General features: G+C 45.8%; 1 protein-coding gene across 1 annotated transcript in view; it reads left to right on the top strand.

Moving 5' to 3' along the window:
* The first annotated feature begins 379 nt into the window (after positions 1–379).
* The window catches only part of MARCHF4 (membrane associated ring-CH-type finger 4), a 114,619-nt gene continuing 92,487 nt past the window's right edge, over positions 380–22,511 (top strand). The window contains exon 1 of the mRNA NM_020814.3: positions 380–3,118. Within this exon, the coding sequence (NP_065865.1) occupies positions 2,603–3,118 (516 nt within the window). The 5' untranslated portion in view covers positions 380–2,602. The remainder of the gene's footprint in view (positions 3,119–22,511) is intronic.

The following is a 22,511-nucleotide window of genomic DNA, read 5'->3' as shown; positions in this document are numbered from 1 at the left end:
TCCATCAAGTCCCAGCTTCATTGTGGAAGTCACAAAACTTTATCTCCTCGAAAGCTTGCAGACTGAGATCTACTTTAAATGTTTATGTGAACAGAGAAACGGTCTCTGGTTGACAGGTGTCTGTGTCTTGTATGTGCAATGAGAGGAGCTGTGATAGTGGACAGTGGGCAGAGAGTCTACAACCAGACCTTCCACACCGACACGTTCCTGCTGAGGTGAAATGCAAGAGTTAGTGCCTGAATCGCTCCCCTCCCTCCCCGTGGCCTTTCTCCTTCTTTCTTTTACTCTTCACTTCGCTCCCTCCTCCTTCCCTTCCTAAATCCCTCCCTCTCCTGGTTACCTCCCTTTCCCTTGGTCCCTCCCCATCCCCTTCCCTCGCACAGTTCTCTCCTCCTCTTGCTCCCTCTCCCTCCAGCTTCTTTTCCTCTCATCCCCTTTCCCTCCTCCATCCCTCCGCGGCGTCTGCGTCAGGCCCCCACGAGCGTGACGCGCGGGGTCTGGGTGGGAGCTGTCCACTCGCCCGGGGTGCTGAATGCAGCAGCGGCGGCCGCGGCGCCGGCGGCGGAGATAGCCGAGAGCCTCCCTCGCTGCAAGAACCTTGTTTCCAGTTCTCGGACGGTCAGCTCGCCGCCCCGCCACCTCCCTTCCAGCACCACCCCTTTGGGAATCGAGCCAGTGGGGGCAGCGGCGGGTGCTGAGCAACGGCGGAAGACGAGACAACACCTGGCAGCAGCCTGGAATCTGATTTGCTTCCTCTCGGCTTTTATAAGAGATATATTTATATACGGTTTTGGGGAGTCGCGAGGACCAAGCTGGAGCCAAGTGCCGGCTGCCTCCCACCTCGGCCACACTGCTTCGCTCCCCCCTCCCCACCTTCAGCTGGCACCGCAAACAAGCCTTACCTCGTTGCATCTGCGAGGAGAGGTAGCAACAGCGAGCCTAGCCAGCCAGAGGCGGTGGAGAGGAGGAAGGGGCGGGGTGGGGGGGCAGAGAGCGGGCCGAGGCCGCCCTTGGTGGGGGTAGCGGGGGCAGAGCTGCCGAGCAGACCCGGCAGCCGCCCTCCTCCGCCCCCACCCTCCAGAAGCACTCTTGCCTGAGAACCGAATTATTCCACTAGTATTATTTCATTTTTTATTACTCCCCCTCCTCACTCCCCAGCCGCCCCCACCCCCACGCCGGCCTCGCCTCTGGTTGCATGGCAGCGCTGCCCGGGCGCGGGGGCTCAGGGCTGGCCCCCAGGGAAGGGGGAGGAGGAGGAGGATCATGAAGGCCGGAGTCGCGACCGCGCCGGACGGCGGGCAGCAGCCAGAGGACGAGCCGGAGCAGCCCCCGCCCCGGAGACACCCGGACGCCGAGCAGCAGTCGCCTCCGCCGCCGCAGCAGCAGCTGCGGGCGCGGGCCGACCCGGAGCCGGAGGAGGAGGGCGACCGCGACCCAGAGGAGGAAGAGGAGGAGAAGGCGAGGCCACTCGCCCGCCCGGACCTGCCCTTCTCTCGGCTCTTGCCCCTCGACCGAAGGGACCTTTGATGGAACCGAGGGGAGGGCGCCACGGATTTGCCGACTGCAGCAGGGGTGGGCTGGGGGCTGAGATAATGTAACCACTCCTTTCTCCTGTTCTCTCCCACACGCCCCTCTCCTCTACCCCTATTCTCTGCTCCACTGCCCTCTCACCCCGGTACACACACCCTTCCTCTAGCCAGGATCTTCATGCTCAGGAAGGAGGCGCCTCTGCAAGGGTTAAACGATCTTTTCTTTTTCTCCCATCCTTTTTCCTTCCCAAACCTCTATTTTACCTCCCTTCTCCTAATTGGCTTTCCCCTCTTCGGTGTAACCCTTTGGCTGCGGAGGCAAAGCACAAGCCCCTAGCCCAGTTTCACCTGCAACACCCCTCCCCCACCCAACTGCTCTCTTAAAAGCAACTCTGGTGCTTCTGGGGGTTAATTGCCCCAGTTTTCTGCCCAGGAGAATTAAAACTTCTCCCAATCTTCTCTCCTCCCCTACCTTGACTCCCCCAACCCCTACCACCTGAGAAAAACGATCTTTTCTCTCTCACACATGCAGTCCTCAATTCTTCATTGAGCTAGTTTTCTCTAAGCCCAGCTCAATCCACTCCAGATTTGATTTACAATTGTCCCCACCCTTTTATATAAAAGAAAGATTTCTCACTGCGTAGGAATTTGAGAAGAACCCAATAATCCTTTCCTGGGGAACTTTTAAACAATTCGACATTGATTTAAACAATTCGACAGAGGCTCTAGTGGCCCCTCCACCACGCTTCTTCAATCCCTCTGCTCCTACCAGTGTCCTCAGGTCAAAAGCAGAAAGGAGACACACTGAACAAAGTTGGAGGTTGGGGTGGGTGTGTGAGGGCAAGAAAAACTTTTTTGTTATTGGGCTTTCCAGGTGGAGTTCAGAACCAGTGACTCACACTTCTCAGTCCTGGGAGCAATTTATTTGCTACTTGGAGGGGTTGTAAGAAAAGCCAGTGAGAAAGCAGACTCCCCCCACAACACAGATCCACTGTGGACCCCCAAAACCTGTCCTGTCCCCCTCTTTTAAGACTCCAGCCACCCCTCTTGGGCTCTCTACTTCCACGGGGCACATGCTGATGCCCCTGTGTGGGCTGCTCTGGTGGTGGTGGTGCTGCTGCTCCGGCTGGTACTGCTATGGATTGTGTGCCCCAGCCCCCCAGATGTTGCGCCACCAGGGTCTCCTCAAGTGCCGCTGCCGCATGCTCTTCAATGACCTGAAGGTTTTCTTACTGCGGCGCCCTCCTCAAGCGCCCCTGCCCATGCACGGCGACCCCCAGCCCCCCGGTTTGGCGGCCAACAACACCCTTCCGGCTCTGGGCGCCGGGGGGTGGGCAGGCTGGAGGGGCCCCCGAGAAGTGGTGGGCAGGGAGCCCCCTCCTGTGCCACCTCCACCCCCCTTGCCACCTTCTTCTGTGGAAGATGACTGGGGTGGCCCAGCCACAGAGCCACCTGCCTCGCTGCTCAGCAGTGCCTCCTCAGATGACTTCTGTAAGGAGAAGACCGAGGATCGCTACTCACTGGGCAGCAGCTTGGACAGTGGTATGAGGACCCCACTCTGCCGCATCTGCTTCCAGGGGCCAGAACAGGTGAGTCCCCTTTTCTCTTCTCCTGCTTCCTGTGGTATTTTCAGGTCTTGCAGATTGCTACTCGCCTGCTTGCCCTGGGGAACGGTTATATTGTCTTTAGTATGAGGACTCTATGTTTAAGAGCCCTCATTGATGTTTCTTGTGGTTAAGTTTGCCCAATGAGTGTCTGGTTCCTGGTGGAGCCTGTTTGGTGGTTCGTTTGTGTTCTAGGTTTTGCATTTTCCTTCCAATGCTAGTGTCTCCAATTCCAACTCCAAATTTTACAAACATCCTCAGAATAGAAGATCTAGAAACAACGGAGTGAAGAAACTTGGTGGTACATTCACACTGGTTGCCAAGATATCCTTTTATCTAACTTGTTGTTAGTAACATTTCGTCTAGCCCATCTTCAGTCCCATATCCCAACTTCTTCCTGCTCTGAGAGTATGCCGAGATCTTGTTCTCTTTTCCTTTTCTCATAGGTTGAAATCCAGTAAGCTTGTTCTTTTACTTTGGACAACTTCCTTTCATATCACGTTGACATCCTCAGCATTATGTTCTAGCAACTGAGGAGGAAATGGAGAGGGATTCTAGGTCCAAGACTATATGATTTGCTGAGACACTTCTTGGCAGACTCAAATTTTTCTATGTTGAAAACAGGCAGGTAAATGGGAATGAGAATGAGTTTAAGAGACTGACGTAGGCAATAAGGTATCTTGCTATTTCCCTTTTCAGACCTAAAAAGTGTGTTGACTTAGAAAATCCCTTAAATGCTCCCCATCCAGGATAGGGATGCCAACTCTCATATGCACCAGGGCTTTTCCAAGTCTGGCAGGTTTTCCCTACCCTATTCATTCAGATTTTCACAGACACCCCTCCCAAGTTCACCTACAATCTAGTATCAGCAATGCTGGATAGCATGTGTACATTCTTCAGGAACTATAGAATGTGGCAACACTCTCCAAAGAATCACAGATAGAAAGGCTCACGCAGTTAGTGATGCTGGAGAAGGAGTATTCAATTGCAAGGTGGGCAAGGTTATGTGTTCCTATCAGCCACTTCTTCAATAGTTTCCTGAAGTGCAGGGAGGATTTCTGGATACTCCTTGAGGAAGTGGCAGTGCAGTAGGATGCCATGCCAGGCTTTGACTGGCTCTGGTTCTTGCTGAGGGTGTGCTCTGTAAGATGCAGGCTTAGCTGGCATTTTCATTCATTTTCTTGCTTTGCTCTCAATGGACAAAGAACTCTGGGGACCAGTGATCCCTGGAGCTACAGCTTGGAATTATGAGGGGAAGTGATATAGATCTTAGTGTGAATAAATGTCTCTGAGAGGCTGGGGGCTGGGTTCTTCCATCTTAAGATTACCTAAGTATCCAATAAAGTGTTGTCCAGAGTTGAAAACTCCTGTTAGGAAAAATCCTCCAGAGTGCCTTCCCTTCATTCTTTCTCTCTACTTCCAGCACCAGGCTCTGGCAGAGCTATGGGGTAGAGTGGCTCGGCTGACAACAAGAGGGTGCCTCACTTTGATATCAGGATCTTGCCACCATCAAGTACTTCATACTCTCCAAAAGAAAGAATTATTTGGCTTCCTAAATTCCTAAGGCATTTCTTTTTTCTCCCATATGGGCTCAGGTCTGCATGTCACAGGGGCTTCTGAGAGTGTGGCTTCTGGCAAGAGCATTCTTGTCTCTAGAAAACAGCAGGACTTGGAGGTGCCCTGGGATAATATTTCCCCCACTGTGTGAACTTTTTCAAATAGCTTCATGCCTCTGGGCTGCTTTTCCAACTTACGTGATTTGGAGACACCTTTTCATGCCCCCCCCTCCTTTCCTCAGAGGTGTGTTGGGAGAATCCAGGAGAAAAGAAGTGTAAAAATATCTTGGAAGGAATTTATATATAATGAGCATGTATTTTGATAACAGAAAGCTGTATTTTATTGAAAAAAGAAAAAGAAAAAAATCATTGGCAATATTGTGAAATACCCTCATGTGATACAAGATCTGGTCAGAGGTTAGAAGCTTTCCTTTCTTGTTCATTATTTTGATGGGGTGTCATAAATAAAGCATTGAATAAAAAAGCTAACACCAGTAAAGGAATGGGCTCTATTATGTGGGAGGATTAGGGGGCCCTGTCTGCATTAAGACTGGATCAAATTAAGCACTTCCTGCATATGATTATTTTGTTTTGGGGGTTTACCTTATCTGTGCAGGAGCCAAGAGGCTTTAATGGGATTGTGTTATAGTAGTAATAACAGCAATGTGAGTACTGCATTAGATGTGGAGAACACAGTTTCCCAGTTTCTTCTCATTTTTTTTTTCACAGCATTTCTATGAAGGAGACAAAGGAGGGGAGATAAGGGAAACTCTAGAAAAGGAAGAGAGAGATAGAGAGGCAACAGCAGTGAAGGGGAGGGAGAAAGAGAGGGATAGAGAGAGAAGGAGGAGGAGGAGGGAGGGGGAGAGAGAAAGAGAGAGAGACACGCTAAAATTTCTGTGTTTTAATTTCTGTTCAGGGAGAGAGCTGTCCAGCAATTGTCTACACATGGCCCTGGAGGAAATGTGGGCTGCAATCTTAGTAGCTGAATGTCTTGGTGTTATCTCTGCCCAAACAAAGGAATTAAGCAGACCCCCACCTCCCTGCTCCCCATCACCCCAATCATTTACTACTGCTATAGGGGCTAAACGACTGCCAAAAAATGAGTATTTGATCTTTTCCTGCCAACAGCTTGCAATATTTGTGGTGAGGAACAGCAAGAGAATCCAGCTAGTTTCACCTTTGTACCTATCTACAAAGGACTTTGCATCCATTCATTGGTGCATGCGTTTATTTAACAAATTTTTCGGGGCACCTGCAGTGTGCCCGTTGCTGTTCCAGGCATGAGTATTCAGGAGTGAACAAAATAGATGAGATTTCTGCTCTCCTGAAGCTGACATTCTAGTAGAGACACATAAATAGACAAGTAAACTAGTAAGTAAATAAGGTGATTTAAGCTCTGTGATGAAATTTAAAAAGGAAAATGAGTTAGAAAGGAATGAAAGGGAGGCAGTGGGAAAGGTACCACCACATTAGATAGGGTAATCAGGAAAAGTCTTCCTAAGAATGTGTCATCTGAGCTGACACCTAAATGATGAGAAGGGCCCAGCAATGCATAGGTCTAGGGGAAGAGAATTTCAGGTGAAGGAAATAGCAAGTTCAAAAGCGTGAATGTGAACGAGCTTAGCATGTTGGAAAAACAGAAGAGAAGAAAGGAAGAGAGAGAGAGAGAGATAGATGTGAACACTTGCTTTGAGAACCTACTTGGCTCCATCCTAGAAAGCTACTGAGTAGCCTCTCTCCTCTCCACCATTCATTCATGTTGAGCAGGGGTCAGGGCCCATGAGACTGTAGAACCAGAGTCCAGCTCACAACCTCCTCACTCTCCGTTTTTGGTTGAAGCTGCACTAGCCCACTTTGTGGGACAATGTACCATTGTGAGTAATCTGAACTCTCTGAAGCCAGATGGACCCAGTTGGAGGCCTGAACAAGTTATATAGCCTGCCTGTGTCTTGGATTCCTCATTTGTAAAGATGGAATAATAATAATAGTCCCCATGTCATAAGATTATTCTGAGCATCAAATCAGTCAATACTATAAGAGCAGTGCCATCGTAGCATTTTGTTATTGTTATTACTATCTCAGATGCAAGAGAGTGCTGTTCCTGCCTTGTTTAAAAGAAAAGGTGTGCCCCAGCCCAGAGGCTGTCAGGAAGCCACTATGATTGTGGCATGGATGTGGACTGTTTCTTGCAGATTTATAATGCTCTAGGCACAGAGCAGAGCTTGTCCGTTTCCATCATCAAAGTCTTTATTAAGCACCTACCTTTTGCCTGCTGTTCTGCTGGACAAGGTCCAGAGACATAGGGTAGATGTGGTCCTGCCCTCTGGGAGTCTCACAATCTAACCCAGACATCACAGGGGCTGATAGAGATCAAGAACACACAGACAGTGAGGCTGAGTGAATTACAGTAATATCAGGTACAAGAAGGAGATGCATGTTTAAAAGCAGCTAGTGGGCGGGGTGCCTACTCAAAAAGACAAGTCGGGGAATTTGCCACTTTATCTACAGTTAGTTAGAGAAGGCTTCTCTATTGCTTCTGAAGACCAAGTGAGAAGAAATAGATTTAGGCTGCAAGACTGAGGTTAGACAGATGGAAGCAGAAGAGATGTGTCCCCCACCCCCACACCTGACTGCCATGGTGGATTTTATCTTTGTGGAGCAACCTCCAGGCACTCCACACATGGATACCTTGAAAAGAGGTGAATCCACCTCCCAGCTAGGCAGCTGTGGAGTGCCTAGCAGTGGGTACAAAGATGAAATCCACCATGGCAGTCAGAAGCTAGGGTGGGAGGCCACCTGTTCTGGCCCTAATGGAAAGTAGGACGTGTATCTGGAAAAGTTTAGCAGGCTTAATCTGCCTTTTTATTCTTTCTGGGGTTGGCTTCCCTGGAGTTCTGCATTCAGAAGGGGCAATAATTGTATAGAGTAGTCTAGTCAGTGTTTTGGTTAGTTGTGAATAAGATATGGCTTTTCAGGGCTTGGGGAATCTGGAGATCCTAAGATGCAATGAGAACCTGGGAATGGAGCTCAAGTAGAGCATTTTAGAAGAGACTTAAATGGTGTACTTACTCGTCTTAGTGCTATGGTTTGATTTTACATTTCTTTGTGTGGTTATTTAGTATCTGTCTTCCACAAAGAAGAGACCCATCCCTAACATTTACAGGCCCTATGGCAGGAGTATAAATGGAAGCTCACATACCATGCTCCAAAATATTTAAAAGTAGTAAATCCAGCTAACAAACTGTTAAACAAAATATATTTTATCCTCCTTTCCTGAAAAATGCTCCTTCAAAGCAACCTGGAAGACAGGTTTGAATTTAGAACTTTTAGATGTCTCTGGATTCTGTACTAGCCAAATGGGGATAACTGTCCTTTGGTCTACAGGACATTCTGATTCTCTTTCCAACGCTGACTCTAGCCTGTACTAATGAGCCTTGGACCAACGTGTATGGACAGTCCTGCTGGCTTGTCCAAGCTCTGTCCATATCATCCCCAAAACAGTGGTGCCTTGCCCCAATCCCTGCCCTTAGGCCAAGGAGGGAACAGTTTATGGATCCAAAGAAGAGAGTCCTGCAGGTCCTGGGAGCAAGTTCATGGCTGTCTGGACAGGAATTCCAGGGTTCTGGGTAACTGGAGCATATTCCAGAAGAGAGGTGAGGTTCCTTGACCCCGCAGACTCCTCACACTGTGGGGAGAGGTGCAGCTGAATGGGGAGCAGAGTGGGGTCCTCTAGAGCTAGGGGTTCTCTTGCCTGGGTCTAAGGGGAGCACTGCAAAGGGACTATAAGATCCCTGGAAGAAGTGAACTGTGTGTGTTCATTCATTGTTAGATCATTGGCTCTCAACCCAGTACCTGGCACCCGCTTCATGCTCTATGAGTATTTCTTGAAAGGACAACCTCTGGAGCTCATCTAGTGGGCAGCTTCATAGGTAGGAGAACTGGGGAAAAGAGAACATTTAGGAAAAAAGCGGTGTCAAATGCCAAAGGTGTGCTCTGCAGAAGAAAGGGTCCACAGGGCAGTACCTTCGATAGTGATAGAATTTCCAGGGAAGTAAACTTGGGTTTCACTATTATACAAACTTTCTATCAAAGCTGTCCCAAGATCTTATAGGCTACCTTAGAAGGAGGATCTTATGGGGACTGGAGACTAGATAATCCTCAAGATCCTTTCTGAGCTCGGGAGTTGGAATTCATAAATAAGGTCACTTTGGGGTCCAGGAGATTTTTAATCTGAGCAAAAAGGGATGATCCCCTCAGCCTCTCCAATTCAAGGGGTCATCTCATCTCAGGACATCCAGGCCCAGTAAACATGTTACATGGCATATACAAATATATCTTCAGCAAAGATTGGAGAGAACAGTCTCTGTCCTGTGTTCATAGAAATCCTAAGGTGTTGCCAGCCACATTGTTGCTGCAATTGTAAATTTTCACCATGCACACACCATGATGGGAGAGCAAGCCCTTCATGGCCAATAGGCAACAGACACCATTATGGACCCAAGGATACAAAACCATCCTGGGAAAGGGGGAGCACAGTTACCTCCAAGAGTTTTGAGCTTTCAGTTCCTACTTCTGTCAGTCCTGATCCTACTTAAATTGGAAGCTCCAAGAACCTTTTCTTCACTCAAGGCTCTTACCAAAGCTCTAATTCTCTATTGGGAGATAAGGTAAGGATGTTAAAACCCCACCACAGGGTTACAGGCTCTTTCACAGGTATAGCTATCTTACATGTACAAACTTGCTCACGCATAAGCACGGATACAACATTGAATGCATCTGTCTCACTTTCACGGGCAGAACTGGGAATGAGAGGAGGGGAGATGCCTGTGTTTTGACAGTTGTGAAGCAGTTCTCTAATCAATTGTTTGTGAGGTTCTCTACACAGTGTTGTTTGTAGTAATCCTTCACTTACCAGTATCAGCTTGGGGTGAGCTGACCAATTTATTGGATGTGGCTTCTAGCTGAGGCCCCCATTGAGAAAGTTACTTAAGGCTAGCAGGGCAGGAAGTTATGAAATATGGATTTCAGAAGAGGCTGGGAGAGAAAAAGGAGAGATACTGGGACTCTCTCTTTCTCCTCTCTTTCTGCCCCCTTTTCCAGCTGGTATGCTGGAAAAGCCCAGCTGTGGCCTGTGAGATGGGGGAGGGAGAGGAGGTTGGAGGGAGAGGAGACACTTAAAGGAGTGTGGGAATGAGCGAGCTGCTGCTTGTTTGCTGGGAAGGAAGCCAAGTTGGAAGTGAGCCTGGATGTAAAGGAGCTGGCAAGAAAATACTGTATGGCCCAAGCTGCATACCATCCCCCTCCTGAGATGCATCAGGTATAAGCCAGAGTTTACATGTGCATATAGTACACATTTGATACCTCCTTCTGTGTATGGTAAAAGCAAAGGTGAGGTGTACCCAGGGCTGACTGTCTCATGACGAAATAGCACAATTGAGTAAGTTACAATTTGAAATCCAGGTAGATGCAAATTGTCAGGGAAAGAAAGGGGGGAGTTTCCAAATATAGGTTCTATCCAACTCTGTAATCCAAGAATGACCTCATGCCCCACAAGGGGGACACAAGGGCCCCAGTCCTGAACCCAGCGAATTGTACTCATGAGGATTTTTGCAGGACCTGTCCATAGAGGGGTTGAGAAGGACAGATCAAATTATTTTTCTCCTTCATGGAAAGATTGTTTTGGATGTGATTGAATAGAATCAACATCAATGTCTGAAAGAACCCTCTTGAAGCCACCCCAGTGGCTAGCATAGGGCTCTGCATACAGTAGGTACTCATTATTTGCTAATCGTTTCCCCTGCTACTTGCACATGTTCATTCCAGATTAATAGTGCTATCTTTGGTCCCTAGTATATGTGTGGTAGAAGACATATTTGTGTGTGTGTGTATAAACGAAAAGGCCAAGCAATGAGGGTATGGATGACCCCTTGCAATCTCATCCAACCTCATTTTCTGTTTCTATAATGAGAAATAGCAATGATTCTTGTCCTGGTAATCATAGTGATCATTATCTTGGCTTGAGACCATTTGGCCAGCATGCATTTCCTTATACTATTGCAGAATGATGGGAAGAACATGGGCTTTGAAGTCCAAAATACATGGATTTCATTCCCATTTGGGGCCCTTCCCAGCAGAGTGGTCTTGGGCAACTTATTTAACCTCCCTGGACCTAGATTTTATTGTTTATAAAACAGAGATAAAATACTGAATTTGAACATTTGTAAGGAATTGACATGATGCATTAAAGATCTAGGCACACAACAACTGCTAATTGAATGAGAGTGATATTTACCCCATCCCACCAGTGTGTCTCAGAGACCTGGAATGGAGCCCTCAGATCACACTGTTGCTTTTCCTACTACCCTCTCTCACTGGAGTCTTTAAAAAATCAGATGTCTAAGGCTATGCTTCCATCACAGTAAACCCCAAGCTGTTTTTGTGACTGACAATCAGGGATACATGTTTTGGACCAGCCTCTGTTTAGCACATTTTCTGCCTCTGTGTTGTCTGATTCAGCTGAACTCTGTCCTCTCTTCCTTGGATCCCTCACTCCCAACATAGTTGTCTTTATCCATCTCCATCATCACCAGGTCCCTGACAGATCTTTATTAAGCAGCACTCTCTGCTTGGCAGGAACTATGTAGAAAGACACTTTCCTGGACTTTGAGTACCTAGAGGTCAGGGGCAGACCATGCATGCAGACAAGCATGCAGAAGAAGTTGCAGAGGAAACAGTTGCCCAATATGTAACAGCAAGGGATTTGCATTGAGGGTCCTCCTTGGACGAGTGTTTCTGAAAGCCTGGGATGGGATGGACAGCCCCAGACAGACATGATTTTAAATAACGTTGATCCCCAGGTAAGAATGTTGTTCCCTTTTCAGTTTGCTCTTATGCTTCATGATTATATCTAGGAGAAAATCTCACCATAGTGATAATATATCTTTAACACCTTTCTAGTGGTGTCAGTCTGCTTTATAAACAAAGAAAGAAGGCATTAGACTCAGAGTCTTTGGACATGCACTATTTTAGCTAGAATTTCTCACCTTGTTTTGTTTATATTTGTATGTGTCTATTCTTTTTTTTAATGGGCTTAATTTTTTTAGAGCAGCTTTAGGTTCACAGCAAAATTGAACAGAAAGTACAGAGTTCCCATGTACTCCCTGCAACCCCACCATCAACATCCCATACTTTGGCCAGGTACAGTGGCTCATGCCTGTAATCCCAGCACTTTGGGAGGCTGAAGTGGGAGGATCGTTTGAGCCCTGGAATTTGAGACGAGCCCTGGAATTTGAGACCAGCCTGGGCAACATAGTAAGACTCCATCTCTACAAAACAAAACAAAAGCAAAAAAAATCCCACCAGGGTGGAACATTTGTTACAACTGACCCTACACTGACACATCATTATCACCCAAAGTCCATAGATTACATGAGGGTTCACTGTTGATATCGTACATTCTAAGGGTTTTGACCAATATATAGTGACATGTATCTACCATTATGGTATCATACAGAATGGTTTTACTGCCCTAAAAACCCACTGTGCCCCACCACCTATTCATCTCCCTGCTTCCACTCCCGATCTCCCGGCAAAATATTTGGCCTTTTCCAGGATGTCAGATAGTTGGAATTATACAGTGTGTAGCCTTTTCAGATTGGCTTTTTCACTTAGTAATATACATTTAAACTTCCTCCATGTCTCGGTGTCTTTTTGTAGTTGATAGCACATTTCTTCTTAGCGCTGAATAATATTCCATCACATGGATGTCCCAGAGTTTGTCTATTCTTTTTATGGCAAATGGTACCAGTTTTTTCATTTATGGCAGTGACAAAAAGTCTCCCTTAGAAATAAATTTATTGAAATAGAAATGTGAGACATTTAAAGGCAAATGTTAAGTTTGAAGAAAATAATAGTATAAATGGTACATGAATACATCAAAAAGTATAAGTGACTGAAGTTATTCTGACCTGGCTACAATTTAAAATAGTTTTGAAACATCTGTGGACATCAAGAAGTGCCTCAGGAAGGGGATGATACATGGAGTCCCAGGCTGTGATCCCAGGGTAGTGCCCTGGGATCTGCATTTTCAATCTCTGACTTTGAGAATTCCAAAGTAGGTGATTACTTCAGGAATACCGTGTATTAGTAGGAAATCAAGTGGGGAGAAGAAATGTGTCCACCAGACCTGAGGTTCTGGAACAAGGAACAGAGGTGTGGGCCCTGGAGGAGGAGAGGAGAGTTAATTGGGAGGGTATGATATAATCAAAAGTGCAAGTTCAGTCATTCAGTGCTGGCAGAGTTCAATTAATAAGAGCAAGATCTGCTATGAAGAAAGTGACTTTTTATTCCAAAGCTAACTTAGGGGAAGAAGTACAGGTTTCTTGCTTTAAGGGTACTACTTCGTTTTTAGAGCAGAAAGCAGGTGCTTTTAGAAGGGGTCTCAGCGTGAAAGGCACACAGTGGAGGAAGCAAGCAGGTGGAGGTCTGCATAACTCATTTCAGTGCCTTATCTACTGGATAGTCAAGCTGGTGACTGCTGGCACCTTCATGAGCAGAACTAGACTGCAAATGCGACTGAAGCTTTCCAGGTGGGAGAGAGTTTTGTAGTGGGCATACTTGGGGTTGTAGATTGACTGTTGTCTCTTGAGGCAACCTCCTGGTGGGTGAGTTCCACTCAAGCTTCTAAACACATAGTTAGGTGAACTTGCCCTGTAGGGAGAGCCTGATGAAGAAGAGGTAAAAAGCTGTAATTGCCTTTCTACAGGACTAAGTAGGAAGTGGCTAATAGGGGGAAACAGAGAAAAGAGAAAAGAAGAGGAAAAAATAATAAAAATAATAATTCATTCTCTTCTTTGTAGAAAAATGGGGGTGCTTGGCTACAACAGGACCATGTGACTAGGAAAGAAGAGGCATGTGTCACCCATGGCAGAGGTAGGAAGGGATGCCTCTTACATCTCTCTTCTCCCCTGCCTCAGGGATCTGAGAACTATGAGTCCTATATGGGATAGCTGCAAGATGGGAAAGTCTGACCAACATGGGCTCTGACATGAAGGAAATGCTAACTTTGATTGTGTTAAGACACTGAAGCTTGGGGGTTTGTCTGTTACCCAGCTAATGTTAATTTCCCTGACTAATACAACCATAAATTCCCACTCCTGAATTATGTTCTGAGGGTATTCTTGAGTGAAGCCAAATCTGGGGCTTGCTTCCCATTTCTCCCCATTTGGTTTCCTTCCCCTAGGTCCCAGAGCAGGGCAACAGATGGTACACAGCTCTATCCCTCACAGCTCACTAAGTCCCAACAATGAAGTGTTTTAGCTCAGGAATGACGTATCACTTTTGCCTACAAATGCCTGGCTGCATCTAGGAACATGGCTCTGCCTAACAGCAATAGGGGTGGGGAGTATAATCCTTCTGGGTACTGTCAAAAAGATGAAGGCTTTTTTTCCAGAGATGGGTGAGTTCTAGAAGTCTCTACCTCAATAAAGGTAGAGGGAGTGAATGAATGAGAAAACACATGGCAAGCTTTTAGAACACCACTTGACCCACATTAAGCATGCAATAAGTATTCCTAGTGATTGTTCTTATTTGCTCTTTTATAAAAAGAGGAGGTTGTGCTCTGGAATATCCACGCTGCTTCTACTTCTGCTGTCCTTGTTTATGCCTTATCATGCCCCAGTCACACCTGGGGCTGATATAAATCCAATTCCTCCTTCTATCTATAGCAGATGCCTCCCTAGAAGAATGTTCTAAAAACTGGACATTAAAGGCTGAAAAGGGAAAAGAATTTGGGAAATAGAAAATGAAGACTGTTCCTGGCATAAGGACAATGAAAGCAAGGAGTCAGAGATGCTTTTGGAGAAAATTAGCAAGGTTGATAAGAACACGGGCTTGTAGAGTCAGGCAGAACTGCTTTCAGATCCCATTGTTACTGTGCAGTAGATGTGTGTCCTTGGGCAAGTCACTTATAGACTCAGAATCTTAATTTCCTCCACTGTAGAATGGCAATGATAATAATAGTACCTGTCCCAGAGGTTGTTGTGAGGTTAACTGATACAATGAATGCAAAAATCTTAGCATAGTGCAGAATACAAACATACAATAAAATCACAAACATACATTAAACATTAGGGCTTGGTGTTTTTGTCTGACCTCACAAGCTCGCTATTGTTTTCTTCAAACTTTGAAAATTTCTGCCTTGGACTGTGTATGATTGCGGGCTGCTGACCTCAGAAGGAGCTGCCATAATATCATCTGTCAGGAGTCGATGAAACTAAATATACCCAACCATTGCCTGTAGCTAAATAAAATGATCTCACAGATATACTTACTATTTTTCAAAAGTATATGGAACAAACTCAAAAGCATCCTTCAATTTACTGTAGCTTGTCAATAAATATATTCTCAAAGAGATACTTGAAGTATAACTACAGTCATTTGAGGGTTTGTGATACTTTTTGAATATTAAAAATAGTCTAATTAGAGAGATTTTATAAAATAACTGGCCAGTACTTTCCAAAGTCTCAACATCACGAAAGATATAGAATGAAGGCTGGACATGGTGGCTCATGCCTTTAATCCCAGCCCTTTGGCTGACTAAGGCGGGAAGATTGCTTGAGCCCAGGAGTTTGTGACCAGACTAGGCAGTATAGTGAAACTTTGTTTCTACAAAAAATTTAAAAATTAGCCAAGCATGGTGGTACAAGCCTGTGGTCCCAGCTACTCAGGGGACTGAGGTGGGAGGATTGCTTGAACCCAGAGGCAGAGGCTGCAGGGAGCCATGATGTACTACTGCACTCCAGCCTGGGTGACAGAGCAAGACCATGTCAAAAAATTGTGTGTGTGTGTGTGTATAAAAGTGTACATACAGAATGATGGGGAACTATCTCAGATTGGAAGAGTCTAAGGTGATATAACAATTAAATACAATGTATAATCTGGATTGTATTCTGGACCACATAAAGGACATTAGTGGGACCCTTGGTGAAATTCAAATAAGATATGTAGATTAGTTAATAGTCTTGTATCAATGTTGAGTTCCTAGTTTGGGTCATTGTACTATGGTTACATGAGATTTAACCTTTGGGGAACTTGGGTGAAAGTCATATGAGAAATCTTTGTGCTATCTTTATAATTTTTTTTTTTTTTGAGACAGAGTCTCGCTTTGTTGCCCAGGCTGGAGTGCAGTGGCACGATCTCAGCTCACTGCAACCTCCGCCTCCCAGGTTTAAGTAATTCTCCTCCATCAGCCTCCCTAGTAGCTGGGATTACAGGGGCCTGCCACCACGCCCAGCTAATTTTTATATTTTTAGTAGAGACGGGGTTTCACCATGTTGGCCAGGCTGGTCTCAAACTCCTGACCTCAAGTGATCCACCCACCTCGGCCTCTCAAAGTGCTGGGATTACAGAAGTGAGCCACTACGCCCGGCCTATTTTTATAATTTTTAAAATAAGTTTAATGTTATTTCAAAATGAAAAGTTAAAAAATAAAAATAACTTAAAAGGGAAGAGGCTTTTCAGACTTGGAATAATTGTGAATTACCAGTATAGCAAAAAGAGCATAGATTTGCTGATTAGAAAAACCTGTATTAGAATCCAGGCTCTAGCATTTACTAGCTGTGTGGCTTTAGGCAAATCAATTAAATCCTCCGAACTTCAGTGTCCTCTATCTGTCACAGGGGGCTAATGAAAATAAATATCTCATAGAACTGTGTGGAATTTAAGAAGACAATACGTAGCACCGTGCATGAAATGGGCTCTTGAGAAGTATTAGTTCCCTTTCTGGTCTTTCCTTCCCCGTCTGTCCAAAGCGGATGATAAACATGCTTCGCGCAGTTCCTCAGGTATAAGTATACTGCATGCTTTGAGATTGACAAGAGGGACACCTGAGCAGTGCAGTGTTGAGGGGCCAGGAAAGTTTCCCCAATATGGGCCCTTCAGCATCTAAACAGAGTTAAGGATCATCAGCACAAACAGCATTGGCCATTATGCAGTGTTCTTGAACACTTCTTAACCTGACACCGCCAAAAAAGTGCCTTCGCACACTGAAGGAATGTGGGTTGTATATTTTTATTTATCCCATGGTGATCCCTCTAGGAGCCACAGATTTAAGCCTCTATGGAGCAATAAGAGCTTTCTAGTCCTGGGGCTGTGAGTTCTTTGACTGGTTTGGAAAACAAGTGCCAAAACCAGCCAGCGGCAGGTGAATGAGTGTAGGCAGCTGGTGAGGGTGTAGAGGCGTCCCTTCTGTTGTATGTGTGCTTGTGGGTAGGAGGGAGGGAGAAGATTGAGGGGTTGGGGGAATAGGCTGGGTCTGCATGAAATGCAACTTTTTAACACAGAAGAAAAAAGGCACTCCAGGGGTTGGCCCATTTGGCTGCTCCAGCCTTTTGTGCATCTTTGTTCCAGGGAGAACCCAGAGGGTCTGGTCTTTGCAAAGTCAATGCAGACATTCTGTGCAATACTTGCTGCCTTATTTCTGGATTTTGACATCCATTACGCATTTGCCTGCAAAAAAATAAAAAATCAGTTTGAGTATCAGAAAGAGTACGTGATGTGATTTCAAGGACTTTCCACCCCCAACCAAAGACCAAACAACAACAAAAAATCCACTTATTGGGAAGTGACCCTAGAGAAAGGTTCCTCCTAATTTAAATTAATTTTTATTCTTTCTACAAATGCAATTCAAGTAAAAAAGTGTGTCTTTGACATGAGGCTGGAATTTGCTTCAAAATAATCCAGTGACTATAAGTAAAACAAGACTGATTTTGCATGTCATTGCTGAAGGTGGGTGCTGGGTACATGGGGGGTTTATTCTGATTTTCTCTCTACTTTTATATGTGCTTGAAAGTTTCCATATTGTTTGGTTAATAAAAAGATTATAAAAATACAAGTATTAGGGCCGGGCGCAGTGGCTCACGTCTGTAATCCCAGCGCTTTGGGAGGCCAAGGCAAGTGGATCACTTGAGGTCAGGAGTTCAAGACCAGCCTGACCAACATAGTGAAACCCCGTCTCTACTAAAAATACAAAAATGAGCCAGGTGTGGTGGCACATGCCTGTAATCCCAACTACTCGGGAGTCTGAGGCAGGAGAATCACTTGAACCTGGGAGGTGGAGGTTGCAGTGAGCCAAGATCGCACCACTGCACTCTAGCCTGGGTGACAAAGTTAGACTCTGTCTCAAAAAAGAAAGAAAGAAAGAAAGAAAGAAAGAAAGAAAGAAAGAAAGAAAGAAAGAAAGAAAGAAAGAAAGAAAGAAAGAAAGAAAGAAAGAAAGAAAACAATTATTAAATAAGTTTCATGAACAGGCAGGAATTAACTGAGAGTAGACAAGACAGCTTTGGGCACAATTATGCTGAGGACCAGAGTCAAAGACAGAGAGGACCTGAGTGAGTCCCACCAGGTATTCACCAGTCTTGCTCAATGAGGGGAATCAACTTGATGACCTCTTAAGGGATCCTCCATCCCCCAAGGTCATGATTTAGAGATGAAAATGTCCTGTCGTCCATTTCCTTTCTGGTTCCCCTGGTCTAGTGGCAGCAAAAAGATCAGTGACCACTCAGTACAGGTTGAGTGAACACCACTGGGTGTCAGGCCCCAGGAGTGCAGAGATAAGATGGAGAGCTTGGAGTCTAGTGCAAGAAACTGGCGTGCTGAGAACAACCACAAAACATAATGAGTGCCGTGGACCAGGGTTGCATATGTTGTGCTAAAAAACCACACAGGAGGGGTGACTAGTGATGCCTGGGAAAGCTGGAGAAGGACCCCACGTGGACTTGCCTTTTAGTGGTTGAGTAAGAATGAGTAGGTGGAGTCAAGGCAGTTAAGAGAATTCTCCATGTGGAAATGTATGCCAAAATATGGCAATAAGAGATTAACCCTGATTCTCCTCATCAGAAATGTGTTCCTTCCTACTCAGCCTAATCCTGTCTCTCTCTCACCGCATTTCAAATTGCCCTCTGTGCTTTAAGACCCAGAATGCGGGGTAGGGTGCAGAGATGGGAGAGATGTGCTTACTCCTCTTTAGCAACTAGTCCTCTTAAGCCCAGCCTTTCTGTGGTTGGTCCTAATGACCTTTCTGTAATAGCAGCCTAGAAGTCTGGATGTGTTTGGAGGCACCTGCCTGGGAACAGTAACTCCACAAAGCCATCTTGGTTGATTGAATGGAGTTTTTCTCTGGAAGCCACCAGAGGGTCTGGAAGAAACTTTGTGGGTTCAGAAGCTTCCTTATCTTCCAACACATGCACAGCCACTAGCTCATGTTTCTATGGTGGGAGGGAAGAGTAGGCATTGTTTTCCTGATCTTTAGAAGTGAGAAACTGGAGGCCAGGCATGGTCGCTCATGCCTGTAATCCCAGCATTTTGGGAGGCCGAGGTGGGCACATCACTTGAGGTCAGGAGTTTGAGACCTGTCTGGCCAACATGGCAAAACCCTGTCTCTACTAAAAATACAATAATTAGCTGGGCATGGTGGCAGGCACCTGTAATCCCAGCTACTCAGGAGGCTGAGGCAAGAGAATCATTTGAACCTGGGAGGTGGAGGTTGCAGTGAGCTGAGATCACGCCACTGCACTCCAGCCTGGACAACAGAGTAAGACTCCATCGCAGAAAAAAAGAAGAAGAAGAAGAAACAAGGACCCAGAGAGGTGAGGGGACATGTTCAAGGTGGAAGGCAAATCCCTAAGCTGATATTTCCTATTCTTAGACTAGAAAATATCAGTGAATACATCTGCACCTTTCAGGAGAAATAAATTCTTCCTTTTTTCACCCCCTTTCCTGCCTCAGAGCTATTCATCTATTCACTTCCTACATATTAATATATTGCAGTAAAGGACTAATTTACCAGAATGTTTAGAGAATGGAAGCGATCAAAGAGAATGGGTGGGAGTTTATGGTTAATTTGATTTTCTAGTGAATTTGGGGCTAACCCCTGTAAGTTTTATTTCAGTTTTATTGTTGAAAGTCTTTATAAAATGTGAGGCTACTTGGCAGTGCATTTGAACATCGCCTCAATTTTTTTTTTTATGTTGAAGTGTTGTCATTTGAAGTTAGGCTCCGTGGTTAGAAAAGGCACAGGAAATGAAGTTCTAGCTTCACAGACCACAGGATATCTTGTAGAAGCTGGTGGGTGGCTTTTATTTAAACTGTGATATCAACTTGTTTTATCTTTCTCCCACACAAGGGGAATAAAATCTCTAGTTCATCCATTCTGCAAATATTTATTGAGCAGCTGCTTTGTGCCAGAACCGCATGAGGATTCTGGGTACCATGGTGAATTGGAACACAGCTCCTGTCTTCTTGGTGCTTTGCCAGTCTTGTGACTGCAGGGCAGGAATTAAGATATAGTATGGTAAGGACTGAGAACTGCTCAAGGTGCTGTGGGAGGGCAGGCTTGAGGAGGGTCAGGGATGGCTTCTCACAAGATGAGATATCTATGGTAGACCTGAATTTAGCCAAGATAAGAGAGTGGAACACGCTCCAGGTCGAAGGAGGAGCTTTTCCAAAAGCACAGAGGGGCTGGGCATGGAGGTTTATGTCTGTAATCCTAGCACTTGGGGAGGCCAAGGTGGGAGGCTGGCTTGAGCCCAGGAGTTCAGGACCAGCCTGGGCAACATAGTGGGACCCTGTCTCTATTAAAAAAACAACAACAAAAAAAGCAAAAGCTCAGAGAGAGGAAAGAAATGTCACCCCTGGGAGGAAGGGAAAGGCCCACTTTGCTTCCATACACAAGCACTCACTCATCCTCCTTTCTCTGCACACTCACCCTGGGCAGTAGAGTTGTGTCGACCTCCCTGGAGCATCTGCTGGGGCAGCTGAGTTTCCCTTGACTTGGGAGCTCCATCTGTGCAGGCCCTGGCCTAACCCAGCCTGGCTTCCACCAGGAGGCTGCCTTACTTAGCCCACTTGAGGAAGGGGGACACAGGAGTACCTCCATTTGGGGTGATCACTATGGTAACAATCACATCAGGTTGCTGGGGACTAAAACAGGTGGACAAAGGGGAGTACAGAAGCCCCAAACCCCTGGACGTGCCAAGGTCCCTCCAATGTGGTTGGCAAATCGGATCTCTTTCAAGACTCATGCATACTTTCATTCCAGATCTTTTACCTAGAGGCCATTTTCTGGACAGAGAGCCAAAAAAAAGTCAGAAATGCAGCACATACCCCATAGTTTTCTCAGCACTTGGAATTATCTAGTCCTTCCCATTATTCTGCATTTGCTCATACCTGTAGGGATCTGGTAGACGCACAACCAAGGAACTACATTTGCCTTTTTTTGTCCTTTTAAAATTAATCCCCAGGTGCCATCAGCATTATTACCACCTACCCTCATGTTGGAAAGGGTTAACAGGTTCTGTTATTTATAGAATAATGCACTTTGAGAAAGGGACCTTCCTTCATCTTTGAGATGAGTCAGTCAAGGTCTAGAGAGGTTAAGTGAGGTGTTTGTGTTACTGTCAGGCATAGATGCTGTGCTAGCCATAGCCATATCGTCATAAACAAAACGGACAAGGCCTCCACTCTCATGGAGCTTACCCTAGAAGTGAAGTCCAGCAGAACTGTGGGTCCTCAGCTCATGATAGTGGTCCTGGTGGCCTTGGCCCCTTGGCTGAACTGCACCAGCTTCTTCTTTTTATTATTTTAAAATTTATTTTATTTATTTATTTTTTAAAGGCTAGTCAAGTGAAGGAGTGGGGGTGGAAAAGGAACAAAGAAATTTGTAACTGGTTGTGGTCAGTTATTTGTAAATACCACTGCACTTGGACCAGCCAAGCTTCTTGGCATAGTTCTGCTTGTAGCTCTTGCATTCCCTCTGCTGATAAGCCTTCAGCCTCTCGAAAAGGGTTGACAATTTCTTGATCAACTTTCATGTCCTTTCTCCACTACATTTCTGCTTCAAATATCCAAGATGTTCTTTTCCTTGCGCGTGGTGATGCCTGGCATGCAGTGGGACTCCCAGTGGCAGTAATGTCTGTTCTTTGCATGTTTCCACTCTAGAAACTATTCACTCTGAATAAACAATTACAGTTGAGGTAAGTGCAATGGGCAGAAGTACAGCTATTATGCTCCAGAAATATAATAGGGTCCTTCAGGAGAAAACTATGAAATTGAGATTATTATCCCTTTCCCCTCCTATGGATTAGAGGCAGACTTGGAGGGTTGGGTAACTTGTTTGTTTGTTGTAAGACTGGGGTTTGGGTTCTGGGCTCCTGGCTCCAAGTTCAATGCTCTTTCTACGGTTTAATTAAGCATAATTAAATTTAGCAGCTATTTTTCAAGTACCTGTGATGTGCCAAGCATAGTGCTAGCCCTAGGAACTCAACAAATAAATATGGTTCCGTCTCAATAACTTTTCGGTTTAACAAGAGAGATAAGTGTGTGAGCAAATGATTGTCATAAAAAACCATGATGATGAGATGTTCCAATAACATCAGGGGCAGAAAACAGGGAGGGGCATGCTTAGATTGCATGAGTCAGAGGCCAGTGGCTTCCTAGACAACAGAACCTCTAGCTGGTGGTAGGAGCATGTGCAACAGCAGACCAGAGAGGTGGGGGAGAAGGGGCCCGCAGGCACCTGTCAAACAAGGTGGTCTGGTGTCACAGTGAGGTGGTGTGGCACAGTGTGGTGGTGTGGCACAGTGTGGTGGTGTGGCACAGTGGTGATGGTGTGGCATGATGAGGTTATGTGGCTCACATGATGGTGTGGGTAAGCAAGGTAGTGTGGCATAGTGTGCAGTTCTGGCATAGTGAGGGGGTGTGGCATGGTGAGGGGTTGTGGCATGGTGAGGGATGTGGCATAGTGAGGGAGTGTGGCGTAATGA

Source organism: Homo sapiens, chromosome 2 (assembly GCF_000001405.40).
Source record: "Homo sapiens chromosome 2, GRCh38.p14 Primary Assembly".
In the NCBI taxonomy this organism is placed as follows: Eukaryota; Metazoa; Chordata; class Mammalia; order Primates; family Hominidae; genus Homo; species Homo sapiens.
The sequence above is the reverse complement of the archived record's forward strand: the minus strand, read 5'-3'. Positions and strand labels throughout refer to the sequence as shown.